This window comes from Homo sapiens, chromosome 8 (genome assembly GCF_000001405.40).
Source record: "Homo sapiens chromosome 8, GRCh38.p14 Primary Assembly".
NCBI classification, from domain to species: Eukaryota; Metazoa; Chordata; class Mammalia; order Primates; family Hominidae; genus Homo; species Homo sapiens.
Genome location: NC_000008.11, coordinates 117,968,676 through 117,992,146, shown reverse-complemented (window position 1 = coordinate 117,992,146; position 23,471 = coordinate 117,968,676). Strand labels below are relative to the sequence as shown.

The 23,471-nt window shown below is 42.9% G+C and overlaps 1 protein-coding gene across 1 annotated transcript in view, besides 3 other annotated features; it reads left to right on the top strand.

Moving 5' to 3' along the window:
- The window catches only part of EXT1 (exostosin glycosyltransferase 1), a 317,337-nt gene that overhangs the window by 119,680 nt on the left and 174,186 nt on the right, over nucleotides 1-23,471 (top strand). The window lies entirely within an intron of this gene.
- Nucleotides 2,385-2,524: an enhancer, noted in NCBI's record as "active region_27835". NCBI's record gives its function as "activates an Ori minimal core promoter by ATAC-STARR-seq in GM12878 lymphoblastoid cells {active_cell/tissue: GM12878}" and the evidence as "EXISTENCE:reporter gene assay evidence [ECO:0000049][PMID:35858748]".
- Nucleotides 12,064-12,123: a silencer, noted in NCBI's record as "silent region_19477". NCBI's record gives its function as "represses an Ori minimal core promoter by ATAC-STARR-seq in GM12878 lymphoblastoid cells {active_cell/tissue: GM12878}" and the evidence as "EXISTENCE:reporter gene assay evidence [ECO:0000049][PMID:35858748]".
- Nucleotides 22,103-22,162: a silencer, noted in NCBI's record as "silent region_19476". NCBI's record gives its function as "represses an Ori minimal core promoter by ATAC-STARR-seq in GM12878 lymphoblastoid cells {active_cell/tissue: GM12878}" and the evidence as "EXISTENCE:reporter gene assay evidence [ECO:0000049][PMID:35858748]".

Here is a 23,471-nt window from a genome sequence, read left to right as displayed (position 1 = left end):
GAGGAGCCCCTGTGGGCAGCTGCCAACATGTTTTATAGGTGAGACACTTGTCTTTGCCAAAAGTTGTGTGCCAGCCACAAACTTTTCTTTCTGGTCAGGAATAACATGTAAGCCTGTGCTTACAATTGCCTTCTGATATGGACGTGGAGAGTGTCACAGAGGTGCCATGCTGGGTTTTTGACCCTGATGGTAGTAGACTTCTTGCTCAGTGCCCTGCTGTATGACAAGCCTGACCCATTCCCTTATTAGACTCAAGATTTAGTGAGTCTTAAAAAGATATTTGGAGGCTAGGTGTGGTGGCTCATGCCAGTAATCCCAGCACTTTGGGAGGCCGAGGAGGGTGGATCACTTGAGGTCAGGAGTTCAAGACCAGCCTGGCCAACATGGTGAAACGCTGTGTCCACTAAAAATACAAAAATTAGTTGGGTGTGGTGGTATGTGCCTGTAATCCCAACTACTCAGGAGGCTGAGGCCGGAGAATCACTTGAGCCCGGGAGGTGGAGGTTGCAGTGAGCTGAGATCATGCCACTGCGCTCCAGCCTAGGTGACAGAGTCTTACTCCATCTCAAAAAATAAAAATAAAATAAAAAAAGGAAAATAACTCCAGTAGGGTAGTTGCCAAGTTCAAAAGGCCAAAGAAGAGACTCAGAACCAGCAAAAGATACATGGGATTTTATTAAGGGCTTAATTCAGGGGAGAGGGTCCAGTGGTGGTAGGCTGGACACGAGAACCACCTTATGTACAGAAATGGTCCAGTGGCAATGAGCCGGACAAAGTAACCACTGGCTCAGTGGCAGCAAGCTGGTCGGGAAAACCACAACTGCTTGCAGACATCATGCACTTTATATGGCATTTCACAAATATAAAATTTAGCTGGGCGTGGTGGCATGCACCTGTAGTCCCAGCTACTTGGGAGGCTGAGACACAAGAATTGCTTGAACCTGGGATGTGGAGGTTGCAGTGAGCCAAGATTGCGCCACTGTACTCCATCTAGTCTGGGTGACAGAGCGAGGGTCCATCTAAAAAAAAAAAAAAGACATCGAAGTCTGGAGAACTGAGTTTGAAACCTTCTTCCATTCCGTGTATGGACCTTGGGAAGGCTGTTAAGCCTCCTGGTGCCTTGTTTTTCTCATCTGTAAACAGGCATAATGAACACCATTTGCACATGGTTGGTACGAAGATTAGAAAGAGTGCAAGTCTAGTACCTGGCTGCATAGGCTCTTGTGTTGGAGCAGTGGTGATTATTAGTTCTGTCATCACCTGTAGAGCCTGTTGACACTTGAAGGCCACCTTAATTTTGCAGTTTGCATGTAAGGGTCCTCTGTAGTGATTTCCAGAGTTTTTCCTCCATGCACGGTGCCTAGAACGATGCAAACTGGGCAGTTACTTGGGGTTTGCATCTTTCCACAAAACAAAAGATGAAAAAGAGAGATCCTGCCAAATGCAAGCAAGATGAGGAAGCATGTGCCAATGCCCAAGACTTCAAGGAAGTCAGGTTGTGGGCAGTGTTTATGCAAGTGGGAACTGCATTCCCCAGCACTGGATCTGTGGGTCTTACTCTTAGGCTTGCCGGCCTTAGCATTATGGCAGCAGCCACTGGAGAGGCACAAGTGGTTCCTGAGCATTTTGCTGTCAGGGAAGGCATAGGTTCAGGTGAATATGTGTAAGCACTCATCTTCTAGGATGCTGGAATGTGTCGAGATATCGCTTCAGCTGAGTTGGCTTTTCCTTCTTCTCCAACTTTTTTTGTGAAATCTGGTTCTATAGATGCTGTGCCCAGCTGTCAGATTGTCTCAGTTCTCTGGAATTAGTTTAAAATGAAAGTTTTTCCTTGTCTGCTATAGACAGTTCTACAAACAGAATTACTCTCCTTTTCTTAATTGCTTCTGTCTTCAAGGGCAGGAAGAGATAACTTTCTCTATAGGAAGAGAGGGAGACCCAGTCTGGGTTCTTTTCTTCTTTTCTCTTTTTTTTTAGGCGGAGTCTCGCTCTGTCGCCTAGGCTGGAGTGCAGTGGTGCAATCTCTGCTCATAACAGCCTCTGCCTCCTGGGCTCAAGTGATTCTCGTGCCTCAGCCTCCCGAGTAGCTGGGATTACAGGCTCATACCACCACACCCAGCTAATATTTTGTATTTTTAGTAGACCCAGTGTTTCACCATGTTGGCCAGGCTGGTATCAAACTCTTGGCCTCTCAAAGTGCTGGAATTATAGGCGTGAGCCACTGTGCCCGCCTCCAGTCTGGGTTCTAAGGGATCATTTGCTTTTTCCCATTTTCCACATAAGCAAGTGCATTTGTTTTTTTGGCATAGTTGCTGTCACATGACCGTGTAGGTGAGAAAGCAGTGGGGCTCTTCTGGCAGGGCATGGCACCTGTTGTCCTTAGGCATGGACAGCAAATGTGAGTAGCTAACATCTCGCCCAGATGGATCTCTTTTGTATAAATGTTGATGCTGAAAACTGACTTCCTGTTCTGAACTTTTTTCTTTTGAGTGGCTGAGTGGGTGACTGTCCTAAGATACCAGTATGACTTGGCCGTTTGCAAAGGATTGCTCAACAGGGCTTTCCCCAAGTTGTTCTTCCCCATGAGAGGAACAGTTAGCAAACAGAATGGACTTTGGAGTTGGTCAGTTTAAAAGAGCTATTGAGTACTGCAGGCTCCATTATGAGGTCTGGGGCCACAGGAATGAACTGAACACTTAAGGGTCTTTGTTCTCAAGGAGCGTGTAATTGAGTGGAGGCAGACAGACAAAAAACATGGAAGCAGAAATAAACACAAATAGTGGGGGGCAGGGGCAGTGGAGTGGAAGCAAGGAGACCCCTTCGCTGGCTTTTGATGTACTCCAGACCATAGTAATGTGGCTTAGCCGACGCAGGAGCCAGGTGAGGCAGTGGGATGGGGGTGGGGGGAGGAATTCCTTTTGTATTTTAGAGCTAGAGCCAATGGGACTTGCTAGGTTTTGCCTCTGCTATGGCTTAGGTATGTTACTTAACTTCTCTTTAAAACCTTCATTTGTTTTCCTCTGAAAAAGGGAGATATTTCACAGAGTTGTGGTTAAAATAAAATAGTTTTTTTTTTTTTTTTTTTGAGAGGAGGGGTCTAGCTGTGTGGCCCAGGCTGGTCTCAAACTCCTGGCCCCATTGATCCTCCTGCCTCAGCTTCCTGAGTAGCTGGGATGACAGGCATCAGCCACTGCACCTGTCAGATTTTTTATTTTTAGTTGTTATTTAAGTAGTTATAAAAGAATGAGCACCTCAGACTGGATTTTAGAGGAGAGCCCCCTAGACTGTCTCTGTGTGGCCACTTGTCCAATTCTGGGTTGGACCGGCAGGAGCCTGTGCTCATCTGTCCACAGGGACCACCTCAGTGTTTGGCATTACCAGGCAGCGGTTGCGTCCATTGCCTCTACTATCCCCTTCTTCGCATTGGAGTAGACTTCCCTGGGGGCAGCATGGGAAGAGGTTCCTGCTGCACCTTGCAGGCCTCTCTTGACATTGGGGTTGGGAGGGTGCTGGAGGTGGAGGGAGGTGGGAAGCTCAGGCCTGCACTGTTTTCCTCTCTGCCCGGCCGATCCTGACCCCTCTCTGTTCCTAGCAGCTACCACTGTCTTTGCTGATGCTGTGGTTACCTTTACAGCAGTGGTTCTCAAAGTGTGGTCTGAGCGTCTTTTGCATCAGAATCACCTGAGATAATTATTAAAACTGCAGGCTCTGGGCCTTACTCTAGACCTACTCAGAATCACTTGGACTGGGCCCAGGAATCTACACTTTGTAATGACCTCCCTAATTTAGTGAGCCTTGTGTGCTCTAAATTTTGAGAATCTCTTATTTAGAAAATTTGATTTTCCTTTTGGAGTAATAATAACAAGTAATATTTGTTAGAGGTTAATTATGTGATGCTACTCAGTGTTTTATATGCAATAACCGAATTATTCCTCAAAAATAACAGTGTGAAAGAGAAACTAATATTAGCCTTGTTTGGCCAGTGGGAAAATTAAGGCAAAGAGTATTTGCTCTAATGTTGATTGAAGAGCCAATATGTATGTATGTATTTATTTATTTGTGACAGGATCTCACTCTGTTGCTCAGGCTGGAGTGCAATGGCACCATTACGGCTCACCACAGCCTCAACTTTCCAGGCTCAGGTGATCCTCCCACTTCAGTCTCCTGAGTAGCTGGAACTACAGGCACCTGCCACCATGCTCAGCTAATTTTGGTATTTTTTGTAGAGACGAGATTTTGCTATGTTGCCCAGGCTGGTCTCAAACTCCTGGGTCCAAGCGATCCTTCCGCCTAGGCCTCTCAAAGTTCTAGGATTATAGGCATGAGCCACAGCACCTGACCAACAGCCAGTATTTAAACCCACATCCCCAGCCGTATCCTTCACCTACTCTCTCCCAGCCTCCCTTATGTGGTGATATTACATGAATGAGTCTTCTTAATTTAAACTGACTACTGGATGGCTTCCTGTTATGTTAAGAGGTAGCAACTTAAACATAGAGCATTTTAAAATTGAGCTTTAACGTACATCAGAGCCTAAGATTTGACTCTGATTTTGATACCCTGAGTAAACTTAAGCACTTTTCTCCTTCATTCACTTTGGTAAATGAGCTGTGCAGCCATGCTCTTCTCGTAAACTTTTACCTGCTGTGCTAGGCTGTGAGCCACGAAGTGCCTGCACTGCCCTGTGCCAGTGTCTGGAACATTCTCCAAGTAATTGGCCAGTGCCTGCGCAGATAGAATGCAGGTAGAATGCCAGTTCTCCCCAACCCTTGCCATTGATCTGCATCTTGGGAGGCTGTGCAAGGAGTTGGAGGATCTGGGGTTTTCCCAGTGTCTGGTCACTGAAAGAAATTTTTTCTTTTTAGTGACTCCAGGTTAGTGTCTGAGAAAAGTTGGCCATCAAAACAGGACCAGCCCGAGCAGGTTTGAAGATAAAAATCAATCATTCCGTTCATAGTACTTTCTTATTTCATGTTCCTTTGCTTCCAACTCCCATAAGGAATTTGCTAAAGATACAACCTCAGAGATAGCTTAAGGTGGAGAGAAATTTTCGACCATAAGTTCCTTGGAGAATACGAATTCAAGTAGGGTGAGTGGGAAGAGGTTTCTACCAACATTTTCTCCTTGCATCTCAGGTCCTGAATCTTCCAAAAAGTGCTGCTTGTGCCCTACACTGGCTCAAATTTGCATTTCTGAAACTAGTTTGGTTTGCATTAATTTCACTGGAGTTGTGATCACATTGAAAATGCAAAGCCTAATTGTTAATTAAGAAAAGTCATTTTGAGATGTGATGGTGTTTTATACTCAACATGAGCAGGTTCTATTTGGTTGTGGCAACCTTAAGATTTATGACTGACTGTCCTATCAACACTTGGCAAATGTTTCCATGCTATGGGGATGCATTTTACAGGCTGTTAAATAAGAACCCACGAAGTGGTCCGGTATGTTTTTAAAAAATGAGCCTAGCACCAATGTATAGCTTTCTCTAGAATTTAAATCTCATTGTTAATTTGAAGTTCCTCTCTTTATTGAAAGCTGGGTATTGAATACACCTACTGGGAGATGTGGCCACATAGAGATAGTCTGGATTAATGGGCTTTGGTCTTATTTTTTAGACCTAAATTTATTCTTCATTAAAAGAAGAGTAAAATTCCAGGTGCGGTGGCTCACGCCTGTAATCCCAGCACTTTGGGAGCCTGAGGCGGGTGGATCACTCAAGATTAGGAGTTTGAGAACAACTCCTCAGTTGGTCAACATGTCAAAACCCCTCTCTGCTAAAAGTACAAAAACTTAGCCAGGCGTGGTGGTGCATGCCTGTAATCCCAGCTACTCGGGAGGCTGAGGCAGGAGAATCGCTTGAACCCAGGAGGCAGAGGTTGCAGTGAGCTGAAATCACACCACTGCACTCCAGCCTGGGCGACAGAGCGAGACTTCGTCTCAAAAAAAAAAAAAAAAAAAAGAAAAGAATAGTTAAGCAAGGTGCTTTTTATTTTCACTTGGAAAGTTTCTTTATATTTTCACTCAGAATACTTAGGGTTACATACAGTAATAAAATTTTTAGTAACTCTATTAAAGGAATTGCCTAACACTCAGGAGTCACCGCTTTCCTTAGTAAAAAAAAGTCAAGAATACACTAGGGTTTATGTAAAACAAGAAATCTCCAGTCCAAAATCAGTGAAATAAGAATACAGCATCAAATTATATTATTGAAGTTGAAGAACAGTGCACAGGGAGAAAACAAAGTGATAACTTAATTCAATGCTATAGAAAAGTGATTTGTGAGTCACTTTAACATTTCAGATTTGTTTAAACCATAAAAGTGATAAATTAGCCAAAGAGCTAACAATTGATATTATCTTAAGTTCACATAAATTTTGATTTAACTGAAGCAAATGAAATCAATGTAGTTACTCCCTTCCGATTGCTTCATCTTTGTACAGTTTATAAAGCTAAGAATAAGTAGCTCTAATGAACAGTTTTTTTTTTAAGCTTTTTTGTTGAGGTTTCTCTAATATGTGTCTTTTAGTAATCTCTTCATTTTTTTCCTCCCAGTTCTTCATCTCTTGGGCTCAGCATCTCCTTCTACTTAGAGCACCCTGAACATGTAGACACAGTGGTAATGCACCTTTCCTTGTGGCTATTTTGCCACACTAGGAACTCTTTACATTCCAGGGGTCCCATTCCAGAGATCCCAATATGCAGATATTCTACTGTCTATGCTCAGTGCTGTGAAGTTCTCTGTTAGGGACCGAACTACAAGGCATTAACAGGCAGGATTGGTGCCCGCTAGAGGTTTTCTCTCTGAAATCATCAGGGAAAACAAACAAACTCAAAGGGCAAATGTGTGCATAGCAAAAGGGAAGTCGTGGAAAGAGGTCTGTGGCTTGTGCCTTTGAGAGCTGGCAGAATGAGTGAGCAGCACAGGCTTGGTGAGTGTTCCAAATTTATTCAGAGATCCCTCAGATTTGGTTTGGTATGTATGGGCTCTTTTTATTACTTCCTTTGTTAGCGGTTCGGTGTTCAAAAGTTTCAAAGAGTCGCCACAGAGTTTCTTCATCATTCTTGGGGAGCCAGGCAGGTGGGCAACTCTTTCTCTTAAGCAGCCATCTGAAAGACCTCTTAAGCAGCCATCTGAAAGACCTTACCTCAGGATTACACTTGGAGAGTCAGAGCTGTGAGATGCCTGCCCGTCCGTAGCGTTCCTGACTGTGTTACAAGTCTGGTAGCCTGTCTGCACCTGGTTCCAAGCTTTTCGGGTTGTTGATCATTTTTGAGGTGGTGGAAACTGTTAATGTTTCCTCCTCATTTTGAGTTCGGGAGAGATTTGCCCAGCCAACTTCTAATCAGAGACTCTTTCAAATCCTGTCCAGTCTCTCTCCCTCCACTCCTTCCTCTAGTTATTCTCCATCAGGCCTTCAGAATGTGCTTTTTGGTGTGTCCAGTCAGATCATGGCACTCGGCTTCCTGTCTACACAAGGAAAAAATCCACATCATGTTCACCAGATGCTTGTTCAACCCGCTTCAGCCCCCCAGGTTTCCTGCTGCCTTCCCATCCTCTCCCAACACTCTGGCCTCAGGGCTTTTGTCTGGACCACTCTTCCCAAGGTATCTTCCCCTTTTGCTCAAAGTCAGTCATGAGGGAGGCGTTCCTTAATTGCCACATCTCTTTTCTTTTCTTTTCTTTGTTTTTTTTTTTTGTTTTGTTTTGTTTTGTTTTTGAGACGGAGTTTCACTCTATCACCCAGGCTGGAGTGCAGTGGCATGATTGCGGCTCACTTCAGCCTCCACCTCACCCTGCACCCCAGGTTCAAGCGATTCTCCTGCCTCAGCCTCCCAAGTAGCTGGGATTATAGGCACCCACTACCACACCCAGCTAATTTTTGTATTTTTAGTAAAGACAGGGTTTTGCCATATTCGCCAGGCTGGTCTGGAGCTTCTGACCTCAGGTCATCCACCTGCCTCAGTCTCCCAAAGTGCTGGGATGACAGGTGTGAGCCACTGTGCTCGGCCAGTTGCCACATCTCTAGCCCACATTGCCACTGGGTTGTCATTTGTCTTTCCCTGTAGCATGTGGGCTTCCTGAAAGTAGGATAGTTCTCTGTCTTGTTAATCTATCTAGCTTTAGCACCCAGAACAGTGCCTTGCATATTGTGGGGGCTCAGTCAATATTTGTTGCATCGTAAATAGTGGGTTTGTGAGTTTTCCATTTCTCAACTACAACTCTCTGAAGATTCCAATAGGAGGGAGAAACAGGGTAGTCAGAGAGATAATAAACAAAATCAGCCAACGTTGATAAATTCAGAGTATGGAGGACCAGGTAGGATGTGTCATCATACCTAAGAACGCTGCCTCTGCTTAAAAATTATTGTTAGCTCTAGAAACAATGACATATCTATTTGTGTAGCCCTTTGCAGTAAACACATATACATTAATTCATTAGATTCCCCTAAAAGATTCTATTAAAATGGTGTTTAACTTTTTAGTGCTGATAATGTAAGATCTTCTTTGTAGGATTGCCTCTATTTTGTTGTTGTTGTTGAAGGCCAGGGAGGGTATTGTAAGTGTTGGATGATGTTTAGAACATACCTGTGACATTGGGGCTGTTACTACTGAGCGTCCATGTTGCCATTTGGATTTTCTCTCTTTTTTTAAAAATATTATTTAAGAAAAGATATCTGTCTGTCTCCCAGGCTGGAGTGCAGTGGTGTGAACACTGCTCACTGTAGCGCCAACCTCCTGGGCTCAAGCAATCTTCTCACCTCAGCCTCTTGAGTAGGTGGGACCACAGACACATGCCACCACACCCATCTAACTTTAATATTTTTTATAAAGGCAGGATCTCACCACGTTGCCCAGGCTGGTCTCAAACTCCTGGACTCGAACAATCCTCCCACCTCAGCCTCCTAAAGTGTTGGAATTACAGGTGTGAGTCACAATGCCTGGTCTCATAGTTTTTATTCTGATAGTTTATGCTGTTATTCATGACTCCTTCTTCTAACCTTCCCTGGCTGGTGTTACTTATGTAGAAAAGGAAGACAGGTCTTGTTAGTTGCCTTCAGGAAGACTAAAAATCTTGTTCGGGAGAGAGAAACCATGAAATGAAACTAATTTATTGGCCTTGAAGAAGTGTCAACAACATTTAAGTCAAGAGCAGGAGAATGGTGCTGGGGAACAAATTTAAATTGGTTTTTTATCTTGTAAAAAATATTAATTTTGAATAATGGGAAGGAATGGTAGGCAGAACTCTATAGTCCCTAAGATTTTCATATCATGGTATATTTACATCTGTTTATCTAAACTAACATTAATGTAGGTGCTGCTCTGAAAATATTTTTGCAAATATAATTAAAGCCCTAGCCAGGCATGGTGGCTCACGCCTGTAATCCCAGCACTTTGGGAGGCTGAGTTGAGCAGATCACTTGAGGTCAGGAGTTCAAGACCTGGCCAACATGGTGAAACCCCGTCTCCACCAAAAATATTTTTAAAAAATTAACTGGGTGTGGTGGCGCACCCCTGTAATCTCAGGTACTCGGGAGGCTGAGGCAGGAGAATCACTTGAACCCAGGAGGCAGGGGCTGCAGTGAGCCGAGATTGTGCCACTGCACTCCAGCCTGGGTGACACAGCAAGACTCCGTCTCAAAAAAAAAAGTAATAATAATTAAAGCCCTAAATAGTTGGCCTTAAAATAGGGAGATTATCTTAGGTGGAACTACCATAATCTGGTGAGCCCTTAAAAGGGGCTAGACACTTTTTTTCCAGCTAAAGAGTCAGTCCATGAGGAAGCATCTTCTTTGATGGCTTTGACGATTGGGGGAAGGGAGCGTAGGCAAGGACGCAAGTGTCCTGTGGTAGCTGTGAGTGACCCTGACTGATGGGCAGGAAGGAAACAGATATGTCAGTCTTACACCCGCAAGGAACTGAATTCTGCCACAAACGTGTGCTCCTAAGAAGACCTGGGGCTCTAGACAAGGACGTGGCCGACTGACACCTTGTGAGACACTGAGCAGAGAAAGCAGCCACACTATGTCCCCAGACTTGTGACCTACAGAACTGTGAGCTAAAACATGGGTGTTGTTTTAAGTTGCTGTGTTTATGGGAATTTATTACAGCAGCAATAGAAAACTAATCATTGAGGGAAATCTCATTCTGACAAAATCTGGAAAAAAAATCTAAACTGTAAAAAATGAAATTTAGTTTAGTTTCTGAAAGAAAGTACTTTTTCCCTCCCTCCCTCCTTCTCTCCCTCCTTTCTTTCTTTCTGCCTGCCTTTTTTTTCAGTCTTGCTCTGACACCCAGGCTGAAGTGCTGTGGTGTGATCTCAGCCCACCGCAACCTCCGCCTCCCAGATTCAAGTGATTCTCGTGCCTCAGCCTTCTGAGTAGCTGGGATTATAGGTGCCTGCCTGCCTGCCACCAAGCCTGGCTAATTTTTTTTTTTTTAGTAGAACTGGGGTTTCGCCATGTTGGCCAGGCTGGTCTTGAACTCCTGACCTCAAGTGATCTGCCTGCCTTGGCCTCCCAAAGAGGGAGGGATCTCCCATGGGATTACAGCCATGAGCCACCATGCCCAGCAGAAAGTACTTTTTCAAGAACAAATGACCAACATACATCACCAATGGGATCAAGCTCCATGCTGCTTGCCTTGCCCCTTTGAGACCTGGTTAAATGAATAGATAAGAAGTGTTGTAATTAGTAGATCAAGTATTTATAAATTAGTGGGTAGCTCCAAAGTACTAGAATAGACCTAAAATAGTTCTTGCCAAATATTTATCTATTCTTGGAACAACCTTACTCATGCATTATAATTTGCTTAGCAATCCTTTGTTCATAGGCAGTGCAAAGATTAGTTACAGCCCTCCTACTGTCTGAATTACTGTACTTTCTGAATTAGTAGAGTTGGCATTGATAATCTTAAAAATATAAACAGTAAATAAAGCATTTAAAACCCCCCATGCTGCTGACTTCATATAAAGAGATAGTTGTTTTTGAATATTTTGATGTCCGTACACATTTTTCTACAGAGGCAGTATTTAAATGGGTTTGTATAAATAAGTTCTCTTTCTTGAAGCTTGTGCAAAGCATCTTTACACAAGAAGCTTATAAGCACAGTCAATAAATTCAAGAAAATGGCCCTTTTGAAAGGAAGCCACTGATGCATCTGTGGGCTGACTTCTGCATGAATGACAGCGCAGTAATAAGAAAGCAGACAACGGCTTCCTCCGCCACCACTGCCCTGCCGTGCTCACGCTGCATGGGGGTGCCCTCGCAGCGGGAGTGTGTGTTTGTCCTGGTGGCCGGGGACTGCGGCTTGGCCTTTTTGTTTACAAGAGAGAGGACAGCAGCCTCTGCCCTCCAGCTGCTGTGAAAACAGTGTTGGAAAACCAGAGCGAAGTTTCCACTGAAGAACTCACACTGGAAAAAAAAAAAAAAAAAAAAAAAAAAAAAAAAACCACCAACACCCGAACAAACAAACCTTCCCTCATAAAAGACCATCTGGGTTAAAGTACAGACCACTGGGTCAGAACCCAGATGGTAATGAGAATAGTTGTTCTTCTGCAAACTTTCCGAGTGGGATTTCCATATATTAAGTTGGAAGAGAGCCCAACGTTGAAAAACAGGAAACTAACTGAAGGGCTGTTAGTGTAGTTTGTAAGGAAGATTTTAGCAGTGGGATTAATTGTGTATGTTGGATAAAGGATCCCCATCACTGGAGGTCTCCTTCCAAGTGAAATGGGTGCTCCTGCTGATTTGAATTGGGAGGTGACAGTGGCGATGGCAGATGGGTATGGATTAGAGCAATATTTTGGAGGAAGTCTCAGCTGGGGTTGGGGATAGATTGCATCCTGAGGGGTGCAAAAGGGGAAAAGAGAGGGGGAAGGACGAGGATGACTCTCAGGTCATTTCTTTCCTCTCTTATCCTTTGTTCTTTTCTCATATTATCACTCAGGCAAAATGGGAATGGGCATGTGAGATGCTTTGATTAGTCAGTGCCAGCATCCAGCAATGTGGAATTCTCTGTGGGGCATCTTGAAGCCTCTGGGTGTTGATGTGGAGTGCTGACCCTCTCTGAATTAGTAACACACTTCTAGCTATCTTAGACAGGAAACCACAGTCATTACACCATGGAGATCTCTTCATTATAGCTTTGCTACCTTGTCCATGGTCACATTAATGACTCCTGTCCCAGTTCATCATTGATAACACCTACAGTAACCCATGGTGCTCTGGGAGAAATATTGGGGGAGCAGACATATGAACAAAACAATTTGTTTAAGTGGTAATTTATTTTCTAGCTTTTCTCTGTCACTCACTAAAGGTACAATGGTCCAAATAAATGCTGTCTTGTATGGATATTTCCCCTGGCATTCTGTTCTATTGCAGTGCTTTGGAAAGACGAAGAGTCATTCTACCCATTCAAGGGTAGAGATTAGGGGCCAAAATGTAGAACATTTTGTTGTGGAGATTACGCATCTAGGATAAATGGTGTTTTGCCCGGTCTAGTTACTAAAATGTGGAGGGGAACTGACTTTTTCATGTTCGTGTTACCCTTTTCTTTTGTAACTGTCTACCATGATACTCCTGGTTGCTCCACTGTCTAGATTTTTTTTTTTTCATTTTTGATGTTTCGTTTTGAGTTAGGTATCTGAGTTCCAGAACTTTTGCTACTTGATCACCCTCTGCCAAACAATCATTAAAATATGCTCCTGTAATCAGTAATGAAGACAGACATAAGTAATGGATAAGGATCTTTTTTTGTTTTGTTTTTTTGTTTGTTTGTTTGTTTGTTTGTTTTTGAGACAGAGTCTTGCTCTGTCGCCGAGGCTGGAGTGCAATGGTGCAATCTCGGCTCAGTGCAACCTCTGCCTCCTGGGTTCAAGCAATTCTTCTGCCTCAGCCTCCCGAGTAGCTGGGACTACAGGTGCACCCCCCCAGTGCCCGGCCAATTTTTGTGTTTTTAGTAGAGATGGGATTTCACCATATTGGCCAGGCTGGTCTCAAACTCCTGACCTCATGATCTGTCTGCCTCGGCCTCTTGAAGTGCTAGGATTACAGGCATGAGCCACCGTGCCTGGCCGAGCATTTGCTTTTTAACTCAACATAGTAACATCTTCTTCTTGGGGCCATGGCCTGGAAACTGATGGTGGGACAGGCATGTCACTTGGAGTCATTTCTAGGGGTCCACTCTGAGGTCTGCTGGTTTCCAGCTCTGGCCTTCTGTTTCTTCATGTTTAACATAATAACAATACCCATCCTACCTCCATTACAAGGTCAGAGGGAAAATTTAACATGAGTTGGCATTATCAGTGTGGTACAGCACACTGTCGCCACAGGTAGTTGTTAACTTTATTTCTGGACTATTCTGAGAGTGAACGGGGATACCCCAAACCAAAGCTAGCCTTTGTGGAGTCTATGTTCTGGTGATAATCACTGCTTTCAAACAAGTACCATTAGGTCAAAACTAAAAGCGTGAGTCACGCAGCTGTGATACATTTGTAAAGAAACCTTTCTGGGCTTTCCTGGGAATTTTTAGTTTATTATTCCTATATAGGTCATCCAGAGAAGGACATCTCTTCCCTACTCCACCTCATAATCCTCAAACAGAAATATGACCCAGTCTTTTTTTTTTCATTAATTTAGATAAGTTATGAATTTTAGGGAGAAAAGTTCAGATAAGAAGTACTTTTACATAGTTGAATGTGACCTCTGGATTCCAAAGAGATGATGTGCTTACTGGCTGAAGAAAGCCTGCAGATGGAGGATGGGGAGAAAGTCATGAACTTATTACTCAGTTTCTATTTTGTAACCACTTGGAATAAATATTTGTGTAAAATATGAGCGTAACAATGTGGTTTTAGTTAAAGCCAGAATGTGGTTGTTCAGAAATAACTGAGCAAAAGTTTGCCAGACATTCACATTTCACTGGGCACCCTTTATTGCTGTATACTAATTCTGGCCACCTTACCCAGGAAGCAGGGTATATGACATTTCCATTTATTGCATGCCACCTACACCTTTCATCAGCAAAGGGACACCTGTACATCCTGGGGACAGAGCAGATAGAAGACATGCATTCCATTGCCTTCTTTCAAATAGATACTTTTCAAAAGATTTTAGACCCTGAGTTAAGACAACCTCACTCTTAATTATTGTGGTCAGGAATTCTTTTCTTTGAAATGAAACCTGCATTAGCACTGTGTGTTTCCTTATTTACATTTTTGTTAAATTTCTGGACAATACGTAGCTCCCCTTAGGGACTTTCTAAGTTTGGTGGAGAAAGAAACCCTAGTGGCTAACTTCACTGTTTAGTCCTTAAATTTAAATTCTTTATTATGTACCCACCAGGCCACTGGTCATGGGTAGTGGGTATGGAGACATTTATGTGGATCTCACTCTGTCTCATCTGACCCTCCATGGATTAGATAGCCAGGCCAGGCAATGATTAGGAGGACCCCACAACCCAACTGAGGGACACCCCAGCATTTTCTTTCATGCAAGGATTAATTTGCCCTGTCTAGTGTCTATATTATTCTCCCCTTTTATGTATGTTCTTTGTATCCAGCTGACATATTTAAAATTGCTTGTGGTCTACTGTGAGCCCCACATCATCTTTACCTCTAAAATCATTAACTCATTCTAACTTCATTTCACATCTGACAACTTCTTTTCCTACTAACACTTTATTTTCCTACTTTGTGATATACCTGATGTCTCTGCTGAGTGGGCCCTTGGATATATGGTCTTTTTTTTTTTTTTTTATTTTGAGACAGAGTCTTGCTCTATTGCCCAGGCTGGTATGCAGTGGCACAATCACGGCTCGCTGTAGCCTCCGCGTCCTGGGTTCAAGCGATTCTCCTGCCTCAGCCTCCCAAGTAGCTGGGATTACAGGCATCCGCCACCACGCTCAGCTAATTTTTCTATTTTTAGTAGAGACAGGGTTTCACCATGTTAGCCAGGCTGGTCTCAAACTCCTGACCTCAGGTGATCCACCCACCTCGGCCTCCCAAAGTGCTGGGATTATAGGTGCAAGCTATCATGCCCGGCCAGATATATGGTCATCTTTTTAAAAAAAATCAGGATTAAGTGTCCTCATATAAGCCTTAACATATTATGTAGTAACTGATTCCCTGAATGATCAGTTCCAAAGATTTTGCTACTGTGCCCCAGGAAGCAAACATTAAAACCTCAGTATTCAGGGCCCCTCTCCTTTCAGGGGTCAAACTTGGGATACCAACGCCCTGACATCATCTTTTTTGCATAGCTACTCAGCTTATCCAAAAGGGTCTCTACCCCTCTCTCCCTAACCCCACCAGGATTGCTCATTAACTACTTCTTCACCTCCAAGCCCCTCTGCTACTATTTTAGGATTAAATCTTCTATGAGACTGAGATATCTAAACATATTTATTTAAAATTTCATTAAAGTATAAGCTTACATAAAATGCCAACTCTTAAATGTGCAACCGTATGAATTTTTGTGTATGTCTATACCCATGTAATTACCACCAGGTTCATTCAAAATATAGAATATTTCTAGCACCCAATAATACCCCTCATGCATTCTCTCAGTCAGTAATTTCTTTTGCATGTTTTTTGATTTCATACACATGGAACCCTACTGTATACAGTCTTTTGTCTGTAACTTCTGTAACTTGCCATTATGTCTGTGAGGATCCATGAGGTTGTGGTTATCTGTGGCTTATTCTTTGCTCTTGCTAGCAGTATTCGTTTTATGAATATGCCAGAGTGTGTTTACACGTTCTACTGTGGGTGAACATTATGCGTGTCTCCAGTTTGGGACTATTTATGAATAAAGTTTCTATGAACATTCTCATATGTATGTATTTTGATGGAAACAAACACTTATTTCTGTTGGCTATATAGCCTCAAAGGAATTGCTGGGCGGTAGGCTATTTGTGTGGTATTTTTAATGCAAGATAATAGATTTACATACTGAGAATTGTGCTTCATAGTAAGCTTTTCTGGGTGTATTTTTCATTGATAGAGAAATAGCTCTAATATGGGCCTAAATAGCTCATGTGTACATTTGCTTAAGTTCTTTATTCTGAGATAAATGATTTCTTTAAGTTACCAATGTCATTTTGAAGACTAATTCAGTTATGTTTTCTTGTTAAAGTCCTGGCTCACTTCCGTAGCTCATGTTACTGTTTTGTGTATTAGCCTTCTTTCTCTACCAGCATTTAGATTATTGTTGAAAAACTAATATAAGCGTCGAGGGTCAACACTATCACAATCTTTCTTGTAAAATTACTCCTGGGTTGACATTGAACTGCAGATGACAAGTATGTCAGATCATGTGAGGTAAAACTACAGAGCAAGGAGGTTAATTTTTCAAATGGATTTATTTGAGCAACAAGCATTTCTGAAGCACTGTATGAAGCCATTGCTCTGTCAAGTAAAGTAAAATATAGCCATTATTTTCAAGTAGCTGACAGTTTGGTGGTGGGGGCAGAAAATGAAAACCATTGTTTGCAATGTCCTTTAAGCAAGCATTGCCCCGCATGTTAGAGGGGAGGAAGGGAGTGGGGGGTGGTGATGAGAGAGCATGAATGAGGGCATCAGAATCAGATTGGAGATTCAGAGAAGGCTTCCTAGAAACATATATTTTGATGGAAGAAAACAAATTAGATATTTGGGGAGATAGAGTGAGGGTGAGGGCTTTGCACTGTAGGGGAAGGGACCAAATAGCATATTTAAAGGAATGGAGGCATGAAATAGCATTATCCATCTAGTAGTCAATTTAGGGGATAAAACATTTTTTATTCCATTGATGGTGTTATTGCCATATACATTTCTGGAATGCCTCTTTTGGAATGACTTTTAGAGCTAATTTTCAAACCACACCAGAAAATCACTCTTGATACTTTATAGCTTTGACCCAAATGGTATTTCCCAGCTGGACGCTCACCAGATTTGTCTCCTAAACACTTTTGGCTCATTCCAAAGAAATACAATCTGTCTTCAGAAGGTTTAAGGCTTACCACTATTGAGAACATTCAAAAGCCTGTGTGTGTCCCAGAACTCAGAAATCAATTCCAAAAGGCCACTTGTGTGCAAAAAGCACTTATCGTTGGAATAAGTCTGTAACCTCCTAACGTGAAAGTACAGGTTCCCAAAGACTTGGCTTTCAACCAAGGTTTTATTTTAGAAATTTTATGTCAAAATTGGATCATTTTATATGGTGGGAGCCAGGGGAAAGAGATGGTGGGGAGTGAGTGGGTGTGCTTTATACTAAGCCCAGTGCTTTTCATTAGTTGTCTTAGGATATGATAATTAACTCTGGGTTTGGTTAAACTGGCTCATAGATCATGGAAACAAGGGTTATCTGAGAGGTGGCAACAAAAGCCAAATCCAGGTAGTGAGGGCTGGGTGTGGTGGCTCATGCCTGTAATCCCAATACTTTGGGAGGCCAAGACAGGTGAATCACTTGAGGCCAGGGGTTCCAGACCAGCCTGGGCAACACAATGAAACCCTGTCTCTATAAAAAATACAAAAATTAGCTGGGCATGGTGACATGGGCTGTGGTCCCAGCTACTTAGGAGGCTGAGATGGGAGGATTGATTGAGCTGGAGAGGTCAAGGCTGCAGTGAGCTGTGATCTCACCACTGCACCCTAGCCTGGGCAACAGAGCAAGATCCTGTCTCAGACAAACAAAAATTCCAGGTGGTGAGAATCTGTGGTGTCAGCCTGTTTTGACCTCACTGTAAAGCAGCTTTGTGAAGCCATGGAGCAGATGAGGAAGCATGGAGGAGATACTACAGCAGGGAAGAGGGCTTGGGAAGGCAGGAGGGGGATCCCAGAGAGTCGGGAAACCTGGGACAGCTCAGACAACAATCAGTTAATTCTTTTGCCTTCAGTTGTATATTTTGAATTGATCTCTTCTTAGTTCATCCACTACTATGACTTTTAAACGATAATAACCTGAAAGCTCTTCTATAATCTGCTAAGATCAGTATAGAGCTTATCTGTTATGTTTCATATATTTAATTAATCAAACCTAGTTATTTTTGAAGATGAGAATAGTTTTGTGACCCACCTGGGTGGGAGGGGATGAGAAGAATTATAACCTTTTTACCTTAAAACTTTCCTGATAAGGCACTAAACCACTGGGCTGGTCTACACTGGTCCAAAAGACATTTATTTCCTTCCTTCCTTCCTTCCTTCCTTCCTTCCTTCCTTCCTTCCTTCCTTCCTTCCTTGCTTTCTGCCTTTCTTCCCTCCTTTCCTTTTCTTTCCTTTCCTTCCTTTCCTTTCCTTTCCTTTCCTTTCCTTTCCTTTCCTTTCCTTTCCTTTCCTTTCCTTTCCTTTCCTTTCCTTTCCTTTCCTTTCTCTTTTCTTTTCTTTCATCTCTTCTTTTCTTTTGAGATAGGGTCTTGCTCTGTCACTCAGGCTGGAGTGCAGTGGCGTGATTACGGCTTAGTGCAGTCTTGACCTACTGGGCTCAAGCAATCTTCCATGCTCAGTCTCCTGAGTAGCTAGGACTACAGGCAGACACCACCATGCCCAGGAAATGTTTAAATTATTTTGGAGTCAGGGACTCATTATGTTGCCCAGACTGATCTTGAACTCCTAGGCTCATGCAGTCCTCCCACTTCAGCCTCCCAAAGTGACTTTTTAAAAAAGATGTAGAGGCCCTGTGTTAAACTAGTGTGCTTTTAATTTGCACTAGTATAGCTGTTAATTTGCACATAGCCATCAATACCTTTGGGGATGGAGATCCTGAAGTTTGCCAGAGTTTTCATCTGTTTGTTCACACAGATTATATATTCCCATACAACACTGGTTAGAACCACACTGAGGATCAACCAATGCCCTCAAACCAAGAGGGTTTCCACTAGCAGTTACAGTGGAAAAGGAGGGACTTACTGCAATTCCCACTCTCCTGTCATTTTGTCTTGTATCACGTGCTACCATCAGTTTATTGTTTCATGAGGATGCCCACATTGAATCAAGGAGGGGTATCCAGAGAGATTTCACTTCCACACAGAAACACCAGCACTTAATTTCTCACAGAATCAAATATTTTACAATGGTTCTAAAATACTACATGGTTTGTGTTTGAAAATTATCATTCAGGCTTAAGGTAAGGTCAACATGTGTCTGTTCTTGGTTTTCTGAGCCTTTCTTTGGTTTCTAGTGAAACATATTGATACGGTTTGGCAGTGTCCCCACCGAAATCTCATCTGAATTTTAGTTCCCATAATCCCCATGTGTCATGGGAGGGATCTGGTGGGAGGTAATTGAATCATAGGGGTAGTTACCTTCATGCTGTTATCATGATAGTGAGTGAGTTCTCATGAGATCTGATGGTTTTATAAGGGGCTTTTGCCCCTCTTCACTCTGCACTTCTTACCACCACCATGTGAGAAGGACCTGTTTGCTTCCCTTTCCGCCATGATTTTAAGTTTCCTGAGGCCTCCCCAGCTACGCCGAACTGTGAGTCAATTAAACCCTTTCCCTTCGTAAATTACCCATCTTTATTAGCAGTGTGAGAACAGACTAATACACGTATCAAAACTATCAAAAGAAAGCAATTGGTATTCGATTTTGCATTTGCCACCATAGTATGTGTGCGTGAGTGTTTGCATTTTTTTCCCACTGGGATGGAAAAAGGCACTTAGAGGATAATGAAGTTGCTCTCCTGACACCTCTTCACCTCTTTTACCATTTGAGCAAGAGTGGTTTCATATACTGTTGTCTAGCAATTGACCTTTCCTGTGTCTATCTATCACTTAACTAATTTTATTTGTGCCCAGCACCCTTGCCACAAATTTGCTTTTCAAGTAGAAAACAGTAAATATACCTCCACGATATTTATTGCCCTGAAAAATGCATAGGCAAAAGTCATAAAATTTTGCATGCTACACAGTGGATCCTTTGACTGCACTCTGGAAATCCTGAAGCCTATTCTGGTCCCAATTCCATTTCATTTTTCTGTTTTTCATTTTTCTTTTTTTTCTTTCTTTCTTTTTTTTTTTTTTGTTGGAGTTTTGCTCTTGTTGCCCGGGCTGGACTGCAATGGCACAATCTCGGCTCACCGCAACCTCAGCCTCCCAGGTTCAAGCGATTCTCTTGCCTTAGCCTCCTGAGTAGCTGGGATTAGAGGCATGCGCCACCACGCTCGGCTAATTTTGTATTTTTAGAAGAAACAGGGTTTCTCCATGTTGGTCAGGCTGGTCTCGAACTCCAGACCTCAGGTGACCCACCCACCTTGGCCTCCCAAAGTGCTGGGATTACAGGCGTGAGCCACCGCACCCGGTCTTCTGTGTTATTAACAGCACTTTTGGTGATCTTGAATGCATTGGCATATAACTAAAAAATTTCCTTTTGGAAAAATGTCAAGAAAGGGGATACCATTTGCAAAGAGTTCAACCCAGATGATGATTAAGCATCTATAATTTACGTGACCACAATTAATTCATGGAGTGGGTTTTTTGGTGGAGAGCAGGGGTGCTGAGCATTCTTTAGCCCTTCATCGCCAATATTAATTTGAATGGCTTCTGTACCTCCTTGTAATTGAATTATTAATAATCACAAAGAGCTTATAAACTTCGAATTTAATCTTCATTAATATATAAAGCTCAAAGAGTAATGTCTTTTGACCATGAGTAGACTGCTTCTCTAATTTATCTTCAAAGTTGCTTTTTTTTCTTCCTGTAAGTTTCTGTAGTCCCCTTGACTCCTAAAAGTGAGTGTCATGGAGTGGCTTTGATCAGGGAACATACATCAGTAACTGTTTTGTGACCTTAGTCCCGGCTGTGTTTTATGGCTTGGCCAAAGTTTATCATATAATTTCCACTTTAGGAATTTGCCCACTTACTAAGGCTTTGAGGGCAGGGGAGGTGAAGTAGTATTGTGGGAGAGGAGTAATAAATGTGTTTTCTTTTCAGTTTCTACAGTGAGTGGTCTGTTTTGAAATGAGTGCAGGTGGTTGCAGTCCACTCCCTCCCCAAACAGGACAAATTAAGATCATTTTGCTCTTTCGGGAAGCTGAGGGCAAGCCTGCACAGGTGAGGTCACGAGAGGCAAGCTATGTGCACACCTGGTGTCCTCGTGCTTCTTGGGCAGGCCAGCTCCATGCAGTGCAGTGCCCCTGAAGGGAATGGGGCCAGGAGAAGACATAACAGGGCATGAGGATCTTCTCTGTGCCAAGAATCATGCTAGGTAACCCCCCTGAGATTTCTCATCCTCTTGAGAATCCTGTGAGATGATCCTGCTGCCCTTATTTTTCCAGATGGAAAAACGGATTACCCAGGATTCACCGCTTGTGAGTGGCAGAAAGTGGCAGCATTAGAACTGCTGCACTCCATGGATACATCCAGCACATGTGCTCTCCTCTAGTGTGTGATTCCGGTTCATTTAAGTCAGATTTTGGATTCCACTCAATGAAGTTTGTAACTGCTAAGTTGTGATGTGAGCACTTAGATCACCAAGAATTTCAACTAACCCACTATGCTCAAAGTGTGGTCCATGGACCAAGTACCTTGGAATCCCTTGAAAGCCCCTGTTGAAAATTCAGATTCCTGGCCGGGCATGGTGGCTCACGCCTGTAATCCCAGCATTTTGGGAGGCTGAGGCAGGCAGATCACAAGGTCAGGAGTTTGAGACCAGCCTGACCAATATGATGAAACCCCATCTCTACTAAAAATACCAAAAAAAATTAGCCAGGCATGGTGGTACACACCTGTAATCCCAACTAATCAAGAGGCTGAGGCAGGAGAATCACTTAAACCTGGGAGGCGGAGTTGCAGTGAGCTGAGATCACGCCACTGCACTCCAGCCTGTGTGACAGAGTGAGACTCCGTGTCAAAAAAAAAAAAAAAAATGTAGATTCCTGAGCCCTGCCTCAAACCAATTAGGTCAGAAGTTCTGGGGGTACAGCCCAGGTGTAGGTTCTCTGGGAGAGTCTGTCATGCACTAAAATTTGAGAGTCATGCCATAAAACCTCTTTATAGTGCTCCAGTATAAAAAAGATCTTGGGGTTAAGCTTAGCTAAACAAATACGTCTGCAGGCTGGCAGTTCATGAATTCCACCTAAAGACTATCTGGTTTATCCCTCATTTTACACAAAAGGAAACTGTGGTTTAGAGGGTTGAAGTAACATGTTAAAATTCTCATGGCTTTTTTGTGGTAGAGCAGACACTAGAATCAGTTCTCCTTCCTCCGGTCCATAGCTGGCTGCTTCTAATCTTTTAAAAATCAGCTAATCAAGGTAACTTGGATCCATTTCAATCCTGTCAGTGACCCTACGTTCAATATAAAAGATGAGTCCTGGGAGAACTGCCGTTCTGATTCACATTCATCTGAATGTTGAAAAAGTGCATTTCTTCAGAGTGCTCTGTAGGAGGTGGAAATATTCAATAAGCTTGCGAGAAAGGTTTCCATCTCAACCACACCATGTGTGCATGTGCATGCACATACACGCGTGCGCGCGCACACACACACACCACTGCCACCACCACATAGCTCAGATCTGTCACAACATGAGGGAGGGGACTCGCAAACATGCATAATTTATGCAGGATTTTCACGGATTTTTCAGTATTTGGAAGTGATTTCTTAAATTATACATTGAAACAGCTCCATAAAGATGAAGCTGGAGTTAGTTTCACAATAGCCTTAAAAGTGAGAGAATTTGCGTCTCTGGGATCAATGTGCATATTTCAAAGTGAGACGTTTCACTTTATAGAATTTAGAGGGTCTCAAGGCTGTGGTTGACATTTTTAGTTTGTTGGGCTAAACAACCATTTGCTATACAATACTATGGAAACGAATGGTGGAAGAGATTGCCCTGGAAAACTCTGTTCAATTCCGTTAAGAAATATTAAATTCCTGAGGACAATCTACTTGTTTATTATTTTCAATTTCTCTTAAAATAGTATAAAAGGATCTTCTTGGGTGGCAGTACAGGGATGACAAGGAAGGGACCAAATCTCAGTTGTTCACATTTTTACTTAGTTTGGATTCCAAATAATGGGGCTTCTCATAAAAGATTTGGACCCTGCCCCGAGGCTTTTGGTAATAAATGTGGCCGCTTTGTTTTTTTCCCTAATTATTTCATTCGTAAAAGTCTTATCTTCCCAATAAAGATGGTAACTCCTCTGGACTGGGTCTGCTTTTCGCATTTTCCTTCTTTTATATACCACCATGGTATAGAACTTATTTTTGCTTAATAAACAGTTTGGACATCAGGAAGAGACAGAGCTGTATACAATAGGTAGTTTACAGTCAAATATTTACTGCTTTAAATAAGGCAGAATTGGCTGGGCACAGTGGCTCACGCCTGTAATCCCAGCACTTTGGGAGGCCGAGGCGGGCGGATCACAAGGTCAGGAGATCGAGACCATCCTGGCTAACCTGGTGAAACCCCGTCTCTACTAAAAATACAAAAAATTAGCCGGGCGTCGTGGTGGGCGCCTATAGTCCCAGCTACTCGGGAGGCTGAGGCAGGAGA